This window comes from Homo sapiens, chromosome X (assembly GCF_000001405.40).
Source record: "Homo sapiens chromosome X, GRCh38.p14 Primary Assembly".
NCBI classification, from domain to species: Eukaryota; Metazoa; Chordata; class Mammalia; order Primates; family Hominidae; genus Homo; species Homo sapiens.
The window spans coordinates 101,414,748-101,430,400 of record NC_000023.11 but is presented as its reverse complement, the minus strand read 5'-3'; the positions used below and the strand labels follow the sequence as shown (position 1 = coordinate 101,430,400).

At 45.3% G+C, this 15,653-nt stretch overlaps 1 protein-coding gene across 1 annotated transcript in view; it reads right to left on the bottom strand.

The window, feature by feature from the left end:
- The window catches only part of ARMCX4 (armadillo repeat containing X-linked 4), a 117,711-nt gene extending 105,588 nt beyond the window's left edge, over positions 1 to 12,123 (bottom strand). Inside the window, exons 1-2 of the transcript NR_028407.3 lie at positions 12,031 to 12,123; positions 11,401 to 11,491 (exon numbers count right to left, since the gene is read on the bottom strand). The gene's annotated coding sequence lies outside the window, so the exon portion shown is untranslated. The remainder of the gene's footprint in view (positions 1 to 11,400; positions 11,492 to 12,030) is intronic.

The window sequence follows — 15,653 nt, the reverse complement described above, 5'->3', positions numbered from 1 at the left end:
TCAGAGTTGATTAGACCTCCTTAAAAACAACTAGCCCTATGTTTGACACAGAGCAATCATTCAACAAATATCAGTGTTCTTTCCACCGAAACTTCCCTGCAGAAGATAACTTTGAGATCAACTAAATAGCACAACTAGCTAAAAAGCTCTCAAAAATGAGTCAGTAAGGAGAGAAATAAATAGGCATCTGTGTTATGGTTGACATTCACTGTTATTTCTATGTAGTAGGAATGAGTCATCTGGTAGAGTCTGGGGTAGGAAGAAAAACCATAACCCTATTTTTATTTACTCAGATGTCTGTAATGTCTTATTACATCTGCTCAAGGAAAGATATAGAACATTTGTCAGTGCCAGACCTATCACCATACAAGATATAAGATCTTGGTGAAGTCAAGATGCCTCTCCTGCCTTCACCTCTGTAACAGGATAGCAACAACTAGCTGTCTCAAACCAACCACCCAGGAATGTCGTGGAAGCCAATAAAAAAGCCTTCTCCATTCTTATATGGTAAGAAACATGTTATGTGAGCCCAAGGACAGATTTAAAAGTCATATTGCAAGTATAAGTCCTCTCCCTAGTTGTTATACTAGTAACAATAAAAAGAGTTATTTAATGTCTAATGGAGCAGGGCTAGATGTCATCCAAGAGTCAAAAGTCACAAGTTCACAGTCTTGGGAAATAAGAAAGCCATCCGAAATTAAGTGGCCTCTCGATGGCAGGCAAAGTGCTTTACCAATATTATCTCATTTAATTCTTAAGACACCTGGCTGGGCGCGGTGGCTCACACCTGTAATCCCAACACTTTGGGAGGCCGAGGTGGGCAGATCACCTGAGGTCAGGAGTTTGAGACCAGCCTGGCCAACATGGTGAAACCCCATCTCTACTAAAAATACAAAAATTAGCCAGGCATGGTGGCGCATGCCTGTAGTCCCAGCTACTCGGGAGGCTGAGGTTGGAGAATCACTTGAACCCAGGAGACTAAGGTTGCAGTGAGCCAAGATCACGTCATTGCACTCCAGCCTGGACGACAAGAGCGAAACTCCACCTCAAAAAAAAAAAAAAAAAAAAGACAATCTAGGAGGTAGGCATTATTATACCCATGCTCTGGATGAGAAAACTGAGGATCATAGAAGATAAGTCATTGTATCAGGATCAAATAGCTAACAAGTGGTGCAGCAGGGATTCAAAGGCAAGTCTGTCTGATTCCTATAACGCCAGCTGTTAAAGAAATACCACAACAGAGCTGGGCACAGCGGCTCATGCCTGTGATTCCAGCAATTTGGGAGGCTGAGGCAGGAGGATTCCTTGAGCCCAGGAGTTCGAGACCAGTCTGGGCAACATAGGGAGACCCCATCTCTACAAATAACTTAAAAAATTAGCCGGGCATGGTGGCACATGCCACTCGGGAGGCTGAGACAGGAGGATTGCCTGAGCCCGAAAGGTTGAGGCTGCAGTGAGCTGTGATCACACCACTGCACTCCCGCCTGGGTGACAAAGGCTCTGTCTCAAAAAAAAAAAAAAAAAAAAAGGAAAAGAAATACCAAAACAGAAGTGAAGGCCCAAAGATACGTATCTAATTCAAGTGCAAGGGAAAAGGAAGAAATGTTCACTCCTAAGAGCTATTCTTTAACCACAGACTTCTTCAATCCTACTTTCCTGAATAAACTGTACATTTGAAGGGATGTGAACATTTAATTGGCAGGGTTAAGTGTAGAGTCAGCATGAGTGCCTGATGTGCCATCAACTCTCTCTCAAATGGATACAAAAAGTAGAGAACAGAGAGAGATGGAGAGAAAAAGAAATATAGGAAAGGGTCAAAGGAAAGGGAAAGGAGACTGACAAAAGGAGCTAAACTTTGTCTTAACCTTTTTACTGAGATACAACATTCACAGAGTAACATGCATAAATCTCAAATGCACAGCTTAATGAAATTGATATGTATACACTGGTGTAACTAGACCAAGATATAAAACACCTCCATCACCTCATAAGATTCCTTCATGCCCCTTCCTAGTTAATCCTCACCTTCAGAGGTAACCACTGATCTGAGTACTGAAAATGTATATTAATTTGCATTTCCTATACTATATAAATGTAATAATACAGTATATACTCTCTTTTTTAATCTGACATCTTTCACCCAGCATAATTATTTTGAGATTTGTCCATGTTGGTGTATATATGAAGGATTTATTCCTTTTTATTGCTAAATAGTATTCCCTTGTATGGATATACCACAGTTTATCTACTCACTTGTTTATGCACATTTGTCTGTTTCCAGTTTGGGGCAATTATAAATAAAATTGGTAAGAACACCGGTGTACACGTCTTTATATACACATAAGCTTTAATTTCTCTTGAAATGAAATTTCTAGGAATGGAGTTGTTGAATTATAGAATGCTATACTTTGGATATAGTTTGTCCTCACCAAAACTCATGTTGAAATTTGATCCCTAATGTGGCATGTTGGGAGGTGGGGCCTAATGGAAGGTGTTTGGGTCATGAGAGCAGATACCTCATGATTGGCTTGGTGCCATTCTCATGGTAGTGAGTGAGTTCTCCCTCTTTCAAAACTGGATTCATTCCCTTAGGAATGAATTAGTTCCCACAAGAGTAGGATTTTATAAAGCCAGGATGCCCCTAAGGTTTTGCCTCTTCACATGTGTTCACTTCCCCTTTGACCTTCTCTGCCATGTTATGATGTGTCAAGAAAGCTCTCGGCCAGGCACAGTGGCTCATGCCTGTAATCCCAGCACTTTAGGAGGCCAAGGCAGGCGGATCACCTGTGATCAGGAGTTCGAGACCAGCCTGGCCAACATGGTGTAACCCCATCTCTACTAAAACTACAAAAAAAATTAGCCAGACACAGTGGCGTGCACCTGTAGTCCCAGCTACGTGGGAGGCTGAGGCAGGAGAATTGCTTGAACCTGGGAGGTGGAGGTTGCAGTGAGCCAAGATTGCACCATTGCACTCCAGCCTGGGCGACAGAGCAAGACTCTGTCTTGAAAAAAAAAATGAGAGAGAGAAAGCTCTCACCAGAAGCTGAGGCCATGCCCTTGAACTTCCCAGCCTGCAAAACTAAATAAACCTCTAAATAAACCTCTTTTCTTTATAAATTACACAGTCTCAGATATTCTGTTATAGTAACACAAAATAAACTAAGACACAAAGTAAACATGTTTAGCTATAGTAGATTTTAAAAACACTGAGTCTTAGACCTCTATTCCCTTCCTAGCCTGGCTTTTTTATTTTAGAGATGTTAACTTTATTTTTCCCCACAAAATGAAAATTATATGTACTCTCTATAGAAAATTGGAAAATACAACAAACTAGAAGGAAAGGAAATCAAAACTCTTGTAACATAGGGTTCAAATAAGCTCTCTCCTTTCTGAGATTTGGCATTGACTCAAGAATGCAGCTAGAGAGTTTCTGGAAAAGTCACTGGACAGACCATCAAGCATAAAACCAACAATGTAGTCCTTAAATGTGATTATACAGATCTATGTTTATCAATGAAAAAGTATGATCAGGACCTATTTTTAGGATATATTTTAGAGTGATGGTTAAGATCATGGGCTTTGGAGTCAGACTACCTGGCTCCAAACCTAGCTAGCTCTTTGTCCTTAAACAAATGACACAACTTTGCTGTACCTCCATTTTACCATCTGTGACAAGGGGGTGATAATAATAATACCTACCTCATAGAGCTGCTTTGGGGATTAAATAAAACACTAGAACACTTAGAGAAGCACTTAGAAAAAAATAAAGCTTGGCTCATAGTAAATTTACCATCAACAACCAGAAGTGAGCCATCAACATTTCTCAGCAGTCCTTCTATTTTTCTCTGGTCAACCTACAACCTGCTCTCACCCTTACAACTCATTGAACCTTCTCCATTCTCTTCAGCCTTCCAACTCCTCCTCCTTATTATCTCTACATGCAGATGACCACACCCTCATTTACAGAAAAAATAACGGGGTTGGGGGAGCCTTTAGAAGGAAGTTGTCTCTCATCTTCCTAACACCAAACATAAACCAACTATACCTGCACACATCCTACCAGCAGTTAGTTCCTCAATTAAGACAGAGATGCTCTTGCCTTTTAGTGAACACTAATTCCTCCACCTATGCTTTCGATTCCAGATGCTCCTCTCTCTTAGCAAACGTACTCTATGATTTATCCCATCTCTCTGCTGTATTTTTAACCACTCACTCCCTACAGACCCTTAATTGTAAACTTTACACATCCACAAAATTTCTCCATTAAAAAAAGTCCTTGGCTGGGTGCAGCAGCTCAAGACTGTAATCCCAGCACTTTGGGAGGCTAAGGCAGGCAGATTGCTTGAGCCCTGGAATTCGAGACCAGACTGGGTAACATGGCAAGACCCCATGTCTACAAAAAATGCAAAAATTAGCCCAGCGTGGTGGTGTGCGCACCTCTAATCCCAGCTACTCAGAAGACTGAAGTGGGAGAATCGCCTGAGCCCAAGAAATCAAGGCTGCAGTGAGCTGTGATTGTGCCACTGCACTCCAGCCTGGGCAACAGCGTGAGACCCTGTCTCAAAAAAATAAATAAATAAATAATTTGAAAGGCCTCTCTTGACCCGTAGTCTCGCTCCTGCTTCTACCCTGACTTTTCCATGCCCTTCACAGCCAAAGTGCTTCAAATAGCTGCCTATATTCTTTGTTTCCATTACTTGCCTACCGGCTGGGCGCAGTACCTCACACCTGTAATCCCAGCACTTTGGGAGGCTGAGGTAGGCGGATCACCTGAGGTAAGGAGTTCAAGACCAGCCTGGCTAACATGGTGAAACCCCGTTTCTACTAAAAATACAAAAAATTAGTCGGGCATGGTGGTGTGCGCCTGTAATCCCAGCTACTCGGGAGGCTGAGGCAGGAAAATTGCTTGAACCCGGGAGGCGGAAGTTGCAGTGAGCCGAGATCGCACCATTGCACTCCAGCTTGGGCAACAAGAGTGAAACTCCGTCTCAAAAAAAAAAAAAAAAAGTGCCTTCCTCTCTCTGCTAACCACACTCCAATCTGTTCCATTCTAGATTTCTGCCCCGTCATTCCATGAAAATAGATCCATCCAGGACACCAATGCCTCCATATTCTTAAATGCAACACATATTTACCAGTCCACATCTTATTTGACCTCTGAGCAGCAATGGACATTGTTAACAGTCCATTCCCTACATCTTGAAACAGTTTCTTTCTTTGGCTTCAATGACACAAGTCCCTCCTAACTTTCTTTTAAACCTCCCTGGCTGCTGTTTCCCAGTCTCCTTTGCAGGCTGACTCTCCTGTACTCCACATGAAATACTGGAGTTTCTCAAGCCTCCTTCTTTGATCTCCTGCATTCTCACTCTGATACTCTTTGGCCTAGACAACCTTATCCCCACACATGGCTTGAATTATCAACTATATCCATATAGCACACAATTTATATATCCAATATATAGGCCCCTTCTGAGCTCTAGATCCATCCATCCAACTACCTATATTCTCTTGGGTGTTCTCAAAGGCACGTCAAACACAGTATGTCTAAGACTAAACTCACAGTCCTCATACCTGAACTTAGTATTCAATGTGATCTTAAAGGTCCTGCTTCTTAATGCTGTTACTCCAAACATCCAGTTGTACAAGCCAGAAACTGAGAAGTCACCCTTGACCGCTCACTCTCACTGTAAGATACAGGGGGGAGTAAACAAAATGTGGATTTTCCTATACTCTCTATTTAATATAGAATGCTTCTGTAGCCCCAGATGTATGGGAGAATTTTCCCATACATCAAGCAATCAGTTTTGCAGTGGACACCAGCTGGATGTCCTCTAATTGAATTCAGTTCTGTTACTACCTACCTGGAGATAGTGTCAGATCCCACAGTTTGAGAGCTCAGGCTCACAAGACTGCTCTCCACTTCAGATGCCAGGTTGTAAGCTATGCTTCTGACTGACCCACTGTAAATCAGGGTTCCCATGACCCTCCCCTTGGGTTTGATTAATTTGCTAGAGAGGGTCACAGAACTCTGAAAAACATGTTTACAGGTTTATTATAAAGGATATTACAAAGCATATAGATGGACAGCCAGATGGAACAATCACATAGGACAAGGTACAGGATAAGGGGCACCAAGCTTCCATGCCCCCTACAAGCACAGCACCCTCTAGGTACCTCCATGTGTTCGCTATCCAGAAGCTCTCCAAACCCAATTCTTTCGGGTTTTTATAGACTTTACAGCCAGGCACGGTGGCTCACGCCTGTAATCCCAGCACTTTGGGAGGCCGAGGTGGGTGGATCACATAAGGTCAGGAGTTCGAGACCAGCCCCACCAACATGGCAAAACCCTGTCTCTACTAAAAATACAAAATTTGCCAGGCGTGGTGGTGCATGCCTGTAATCCCAGCTACTTGGGAGGCTGAGGCAGGAGAATCGCTTGAACCCGTGAGATGGAGGTTGCAGTGAGGCAAGATCACGCCATTATACTCCAGCCTGGGCAACAAGAGTGAGACTCCATCTCAAAATATAAAAATAAAAAATAAATAAAATAGAGGCTTTACTATGTAGGCATGATTGATTACATCATTGGCCACTGCTAGTCAATTTAACCTTCAGCTCCTCTCCCTTCCCCAGAGGCTGGGGGTGTGGTGAAAAAGTCTCAACTCTCTAATCCTGCCTTGACCAGCGCCCCCGTCCTAAATCTACCTAGGAGCCTCAGCCACCAGTTATCTCATTAGCATGCAAAAGATACTTTTTTATTTTTATTTTTATTTTTATTTTTTTGAGACGGAGTTTCACTCTTGTTGCCCAGGCTAGAGTGCAATGGCGTGATCTCAGCTCACTGCAACCTCCGCCTCCCAGGTTCAAGCGATTCTCCTGCCTCAGCGTCCCAAGTAGCTGGGATTACAGGCATGTGTCACCATGCCCGGCTAATTGTGTATTCTTAGTAGAGATGGGGTTTCACGATGTTGGTCAGGCTGGTCTCAAACTCCTGACCCCTGGTGATCCGCCCACCTCGGCCTCCCAAAGTGCTGGGATTACAAGCGTGAGCCACCACCCAGGGCAAAAGATACTCTCATCACCTCAGAGATTCTAAGGGTTTTAAAAGCTGTAATTCGCGAAAATGAGGATGAAGACTACCATGGTTTGAATGTTTGTCTTCTCCAAAACTCATGTTAAAATTTAATTGCCCCATGGGCATGGTGGCTCACGCCTGTAATCCCAGCACTTTGGGGGGCCGAGGCCAGTGGATCGCCTGAGGTCAGGAGTTCAAGACCAGCCTGGCCAACATGGTGAAACATTGTCTCTAGTAAAAATACAAAGATTAGCTGGGCATGGTGGTGGGCGCCTGTAATCCCAGCTACTCGGGAGGCTGAGGCAGGAGAATCGCTTGAGCCCAGGAGGTAGAGGTTGCACTGAGCCAAGATTGCGCCACTGCACTCCAATCTGGGCAACATAGTGAGACTCCGTCTCAAAAATATATATATATAAATAAAATAAAAATGAAAAATTTAATTGCCATTGTAATGAAATCACCTTTGCAAAATTATAACTGAGGAAATTATGACAGTGAAAGAAATCAGACCTAACCGACTCCACCTTGCTTCTAACCTTTAAGCTGTCCTTGTTCATTCCTGGGCATAGGTCAAACTAACTTTGGGAAGGAATTCAGTTTGTGGTTTGATTCTGAAACAAAATTGATCATAGGCGTTTCTTTCCTGGGGACTAGTCTGCCTGTGCAGGACTAACAAATTAGCTACAAGATTAGAAATTACAGTTTAGGGGTCATGCAGCCTCTGGCTCCAAGAGTCTGAACCTCCCCAAATTGCTCCTGGGGATAACATCACTATTGTGAAACCTAAGATCAGTGCCTGAGATACTTTTCAGACCCTGAACTCGATGGAGCAGCTGACACCACCCAGACCTGTAATCTGGCTCAACCAGTTCTGCCATCCCACCCAGAACACAAAACTGCAAGAAAGACTCACTTCGACCCCCTATGATTCCATCTCCAACCTGACTGATCAGCACTCCGTACTTCCCAAGCCCCTACCCACCAAGTTATCTTTAAAAACTCTGATCCCAGCCAGGCACGGTGGCTCACGCCTGTAATCCCAGCACTTTGGGAGGCTGAGGCGGGTGGATCACCTGAAGTCAGGAGTTCGAGACCAGCCTGGCCAACATGGTGAAACCCCATCTCTACTAAAAAATACAAAAATTGGCCTGGCATAGTGGCGGGCACCTGTAATCCCAGCTACTCGGGAGGCTGAGGCAGGAGAATCGCTTGAACCCGGGAGGCAGAGGTTGCAGTGAGCCGAAATCACATCATTGCACTCCAGCCTGGGCAACAGAGCAAGACTCTGTCTCAAATAATAATAATAATAATAATAATAATAATAATAATAATAACTGATCCCCCAAATGCTCTGGGAGACTGATTTAAGTAATAACAAAACTCTGGTCTCCTGCACAGCCGGCTGTGTGTGAATTACTCTTTCTTCATTTCAACTCTCCTGTCTTGATAAATCTCTGTCTAGGCAGCAGGCAAGGTGAACCCACTGGGCGGTTGCAGTAATAGTATTAAGAGGTGAGACTTTTAAGAGGTGATTAAGCCATGAGGGCTCTACCCTCACAGGTGGGATTAATGCCATTATAAAAGGGCAAGATCGGTCTCCTCTTGCTCTATCTCTTGGCCCTTCTTTCTGTCTTCTGCCATGTCATGATCTAGCCTTCCTCCCCTCTGGAGGACACAGTGTGTGCAGGGACCATCTTGGAAAAAGAGAATGGCCTCACCAGACACCAAACCTGCCCACACCTTAACCTTAGACTTCCTATCTTCCAGAACTGTAAGGCAATAAATTTCTGTTTATAAATTACCCACTATCGGGTATTGTTATAGCAGCACAAAACAAACTAAAGACTAAATGTGTACTTCACAATATCACACTCCCTCCCTCCCAATTCCAATCCATTGCCAAGTCCTGCAGATTTTACCTCCTAAGAAACCCTAAAATATACCAATCCCCTCCATGTAAACCATGGCTATTGTAGTACAAGCTACTATTACCTCTACTCTAGATTGTTGAAATGGCTTCTAATAAAACTCTCCATACATTCTGACTCCTTCCCAATCCTTTATCCACACTGTAGCCAGGGCAATATTTTCTTTTCCTTTCTTTTTTTTTTTTTTTTTTTTTGAGACAGAGTTTTGCTCTTGTTGCCCAGGCTGGTGTGCAATGGCGCGATCTCAGCTCACCACAACCTCTGCCTCCCGGGTTCAAGCGATTCTCCTGCCTCACCCTCCCGAGTAGCTGGGATTACAAGCATGCACCACCATGCCCGGCTAACTTTTTGTATTTTTAGTAGAGACGGGGTTTCACCATGTTGGTTGGCCAGGCTGGTCTCGAATGCCCGACCTCAGGTGATCCACCTGCCTCAGCCTCCCAAAGTGCTGGGATTACAGGCATGAGCCACTGTGCCTGGCCCCCAGGGCAATATTTTCAAAGACAAATCTGATTCGTTCTCCCCATCCCACAGGGCTTCCAATGGCTCTTAGGATATAGACTGAATGGCTTAAGATGGCTTGTAAGGCCCTGCATGCCCTGACCCAACACACTGCTGTCCCAACTGCCTGTTGAACTCCAGCCACTTTCATTCAGTCTCTTTTACTCACCATGCCATCTCTGAACACATAGCCTCAAACCAGCTCCTCCAACTCTCACCTCCAATCTAATTAGCCACTATTCTTCCTTTAACTCTCAGCTCAATAACTGCTTCTTTGAAGCAATTCCTGACCACCTTGACTAGTCGAATACCCCTATTTTATAGGCTCTCATTGCACCATGTACCCTCCTTTTCATGATACTTGTCCTCATTGCAATTATACACTTGCATGGCTATTTGCTTGCTACTTGGCTCCCCACTGTACTATGAGCTCCTTGAGGACAGGAACTTAATAGGTGTTTTTCCTCAAATTTCCTCAGCACCCAGTACAATGCCTGGCAATAAATTGGTGGTCTTTTTTTTGTTTTTGTTTTTTTTTGAGACGGAGGCCCACTCTGTCACCCAAGCTGGAGTGCAGTGGCACAATCTTGGCTCATTGCAACCTCCGCCTCCTGCATTCAAGTGATTCTCCTGCCTCAGCCTCCCAAGTAGCTGGGATTACAGGCGCACACCACCATGCCCAGCTAATTTTTGTATTTCTAGTAGAGATGGGGGTTTCACCATGTTGGCCAGGCTCGTCTCGAACTCCTGACCTGATCCACCCGCCTCGGCCTCCCAGAGTGCTGGGATTACAGGCGTGAGCCACTGCATCCAGCCAATTGGTGGTCTTTTTAAAAAGAATTGTACCCTGGCAGGTCATGCTAATATATACTACTAGAAGCACTGTCTGAGAGTGCCTTCCGCCAATGGGAAACAGAGCCAGATACTAGTCAAAAGCAGTAAAGCCATATTTTGAGTACTATTATAATAGAGGAAAAGAGACTTCAGTATAGAACTAAGCTCAATCCAAAGACAACTAGGACAAGTGTGGATTTACAGTCAAGCAGCAGAGTGAGGGAGTCAGTAGAAAGAAAATTCCTAAGGGGAGAGAGATATCAAGGGTAGGGGGATTCTTGCTCAACTGACTAAACAGGATTCTCGCTCAAGGCAGGACAAGGTGATCAGGTATCAAGGGTGAGGGAGTTACTCAGCAGGACTCTTGCTAAAACTGGGCTAGGCAGGCCGAGGACAGGGCCCAAGGACAAGGTGTAGTTGAAAAGAAAGCTGAGAGGAGCCTGTCCAAAGTTTGCTCAAAGAGACTTTGTTACTTCCTCAGGCCAGTGTATGTTTCTTTATCTTTATGTCTTACTTTGCTGCTAGTCTCCCCACAAAATAGATCATATCCCCACTACTCTTTACTTATTATTCCATAGGCATTTTAAGAGCTTCTTTGAGTTATAATTTATATTTCATAAAGTTCTCCCCCTTTTCAAGTGCAAATTCAATAGTTTTTAGTAATTTATAGAGTTGTGCGAACTATCACCACAATCTAAGTTGGGACATTTTCGTTATCTCTAAAAGACGCTCCATGCCCATTTGCAGCCACTCCCAGTTCCCACCCCATAGCTGCTTTTGAAAGCCATCATATTTGCCTAAGGATGAAAGGTACAGCCTCACTGGAAAAGCAAAAATCAAAACTACCACGCGTGAAATAATTTGAGAACCACCAAGCACTAATTGTGCATTTCTGATTATTTTCTCAAAAACATTTAAAGACAAGTCAATGTGAACTAAGGAGTGGGAGGAGGTTTCAAGGAAAAGGTAGAACATTTTAAGGTTTTTCTGCAGAGGAAAAAGTGAGCAAAAAAAAAAAAAAGGAAAAGGAATTTAAGTTGAAAAATACTCCAACAAACGAACCAACATGTTTTCAGAACTTTTTGAAGTTCCAGTATGGTGCTGTCACGGTTGGTGAGCTGTCTGTCCTTGATCCAGTAGACAATGCGAGTTTCTAGAACAGAAGGATAAGGATTTATCACAAGCCATAAAAGCTGAAGCAACACTCAACTGAAAATAAACATGTATTGAGCGCCTACTGTGTGTCACGCAAGGGGCTCTGCGCAGGAAAAAAAAAAAAAAAAAAGGCTCCTCGCAGCTCCCCCTGCCCCGGCCAGGTGGCTGCGTGCCCCCTTCCGCCTAATCCCTGGACTGCCCTGGGGCTGAGAACTCCCCTGGCGCGAGAAGCTGGACTCCCCCGGGGACCGGCCCGAGATCACTCGGAGTCGGGGGCGTCCGGCACAGGCCAGACGCAAGGAGGACCCAGCTGGGGCCGGCCCTTCCTTCCCTTCTCCTGTCGCACGACTAGGCCTGTGCCCGGTCCCACCTGCCGCCCTCCCCCTCCTCCTAATGGGACCGAAAAGAGCCCGAAGGGCCTGGGAGGGCGGGTGAGGTTCCCAGGCCTTTCCAGATGCCCTGCCGTGTTTGGCAAAGCGATTGTCTTCCCTCTTGGAGCTCCGCGGACACCCGACCCCTCTTCCTCTCCCTCGCCACCTTCCGTCATTCGCCACGCTGACCACTTCCCCTCTGCTGCCTCCCGCTGAAGCCCCAGCCCGGCCGCGGCCGCCATTTCCCGACAGCCTCTTCCCTGTCCCTTTCCCTGAAAGGAAATGTACTGGGGCGGGGCGGGGCGCTGTGTGAGGGTCTCGAGAAAGCCGCCGGGGAGAAGGAGGGATGGATTCTTTCCAAACTCTCTCCGCTCTCCCGGAGCCCCCTACCTCACCCTTTCTCCCCGAATTCTTGTGGGCTTGGGAGCGAGAGAGAAGGAGCTGGTCCCAGCGCTAGTCACCGCCACCCTCAGCCCACAGATCGGGGGGGGCACGGGTACTCGTACACCACCCCATAAGGATCCCAGCCATGTCCTCTTTCCTTCGCCAGAGCTCATTTCCTCCTCCCTTCCAGCTTCCTGCCCTTTCCCCAAGACAAAGTTGATGTTTGCCTTCCCTGAGACTCAATTTCCTCATCTCTAAAGTGGGATGACACGTAAGAACATCTTGTATATGTGAAACATGCCCTGTGCAAAAGAAGGGGAGCAGGAAGAGGGATACAGGGAGAAAAAGGGCCGTGGAAAAAGGGTCCTTGGAATGTACGGGTAGATGTTCTAAAGAATGTATCGGTCAGAGCATTAGGATAGGTTCAGAAAATAATTACTGAATATATTATTTTGATTCTTAGATGTTATCTCTCACTATTTATCTCTTCTTTCAGAAGCCTAACATTCTCTTCTCAGAGGGCCAGATCGATGTGTGTTGTGTGCATTTATCTGTGCTGACCACTGCTGTGACGGAGGTGGTGGGGCGTCCATTCACAGGCTGCAGGCACAGGGACAACATAACTGTGGAATCCTAATTAGAAAAAAGGAGTTAGGCTGGCTGGAGCAGGGGAAGGCAAAGGGAGAAAGCAAATAAGCTATAAGTTTGTCTTTCTTCATGGTCCAGAACATATAAACAAAAAGAGGAATCAGATAAGCTATAGGTCTGCTTTTCTTTATGGCCCAGGACATGTGGCTTCTTGCGCAGATAACATACATAACTCACAAACTTCCTGCTCACTATCAAACGCCTCAATTTATCAAACACCCCAGCTAACAGAAGAATGCAAGCTAGCTCCCTACTGCCTTGGTTTTCTCAATCAGCCCAAAAACCATCCTATAAAATCTCCAGCAAGCCTTTGTTTCTTTTCAGTCGGCTCCTCTCTTGCAGGCTGCCCGTTGCCTTCTCGAAACGTATTTTCCTACTTTCTCTAATAAATCTGCCTTTACCTCCAACTGTCTTGGTAAATTATTTTACCCCTGCACCACCAGCCCAGTTAGTCGACACTCCCCCGCGACGATAACCCCTCACCTTCCCAGCGGAGTCCTGCACCATGCTAACCTGGGCCCCTTGGGCATGCCTGCTTTGCACTCATGAGAAGACAGTTTTGGTCATTGTGGGAGCAGCTTGTAAAGGGTTCTTGTGACACTCCCAGCCTGGTATAAGGCACAGCAAGTGGAATTTCCTTCCATCAGCAGCTGTTTTGCAATAGCCCTGGAGGCCCATCTTGGAGAAATCTTCATTTTAGCTGACAGCACTAGGAATTCTACCTGATGGAAAAGGAGCTTGATTTATAAACATATTCGCAATGCATTTTCGTATCATTTTGCTGGGTAGAGAAGGCAGAGAAGATATGTCATGCTTACACATGGGATTGTCTCTGTTTTGGTTACCTCCTTTAGGGTTGGATGAGTGAATGCAGGAATCAATGAATGGGTGGATAATGGAATCCATGTATCCATCAGCCAGTAGTTTCCTGCAGCAGAACCACCCTGAGCACTTGTTAAAACACAGCTTATTGGCTGGACAGAGGTTCACACCTGTAATCCCAGCACTTTGAGAGGCCAAGGCAGGAGGATCTCTTGAGCCTAGGAGTTCGAGACCAGCCTAGGCAACATAGTGAGATCCCGTCTCTATAAAAATCATTTTAAAAAATAACTGGGCTTGGTGGCACTCGCCTGTAGTCCCAGCTACTCGAGAGGCTGAGGTGGGAGTATCACTTGAGCCTGGAATTCAAGGCTGCAGTGAGCTGAGATCGCACCACCGCACTCCAGCCTGGGCAAGAGCGAGACCCTGTCTCAGAAAAACACAAAAAACAAAACACAACTTGTTGGGCTCCACACCCAGTTTCTGATTCAGTCCTTGGGGGAAAGGGACGAGGCGGGGGGCGGGGGGGCAAAAAGAATCTGCATATCTCACAAGGTGGAGGTTCATGCTGTTACTGATCAGGTACCACACCCAGAGAACCACTGGCACAAGCCATCGGATACTTAGACCACGATAACTGTGGCTGCAAATTTTCTGCCTGATCCTGCCAAATAGCTCACACACGCAGTTGAAAATAAATCCTCTGACTCAGTGTTTGGGGGGTGTTGTGGGTGGACTGCCCACTCGACCTCCCATCACTTTCCTGGGTAGTAGTGTTAGATGTGAGTGTTGGAGCACGAATGGTGGTGGGTGTGCACGCGTGTGCACACCAGCTGTACTGCTGTCCCTTTGCACACCTCTAGTGCTGACCGCTGACCTTCTCCAGGTTCTCTCTCCTTTGCTCCCCAGAGCCCTTCTGAGTCTTCTTAGCCAGCGAAGAAGAGTAAGTGAACATCTAAGATCACAAAGAACCCTCTATTGTCTCCTGGGATTTGGTGCCATCTAGTGGCTAACTTGAGAATCTTTGCTCAGACTTAGAGAAACTTCTGGAAAATTAACTAAGTAGCCTGGGAAGGCAAAAACACCTACTTGTTTACCCTCTGAGAAAGGCTTCCTGAAGGGCAAGGACTGGCTCAACATGATAGGAGTCAAAATGGATTTCTTGCTCTCCTGAAAGCTGTGATAAAAATTAGAAGTCATCAAAGAATCTCAATCACGTCTCACTGCATCTTCAGCTTGAATGATTTTCTAGAATTGATTTTCATTTCCTGAATGAAACGGAGTCAGGTAATACCAACTTGGTATTTGCCTCCCATCTCATTTCTCTGGGCCCCAAGCCCTGAACAGCCCAAGTATAGCAATCCAGTCCCCAAGGGGTCAGTGAAACTACAGAGATCTGTAGTTCACGGTACAGTTGGTACTGATAAGAGGGACATCAGGGCCTTAAAGTTATTGAGGGGTGGAATTGTTAATGACCACTGTGATCCAGACAGAAATCTAAGATATCAGCACACAATGCCACAGCAGCTCAAAATCCTCATTAAGAGGTGCGAGGTATTGTAAATATGTGGTTTGGACTTTAACAGAAAATTTAAACTACTTGTTATGGGAACAAAGGGGAGGCAATCAGGGATCATAAAGGAAGCTGCTCCTTAAAGTTGCTGTTTGGGGAACTGTGATGGGTCTCAAAACGTGGTCTTGAGACCAGCAGCATCAGCACATTCTCAAGCAACATCCCAAAACTACTGAATTGGAAACTCTAGGGATGGGGCCTAGAAATGAATGTTTAAACAACCCCTGCAGATGATTCTGATGCACATGAATGTTTGAGAACCGCTGGTTTAAGATAAGCTTTAGATGCCCTAAAATACACCTGAGAGTGTTTATAGAGAATCTACTAATGAATTCATGGAGGAGACAATTTATTTCCATAACATA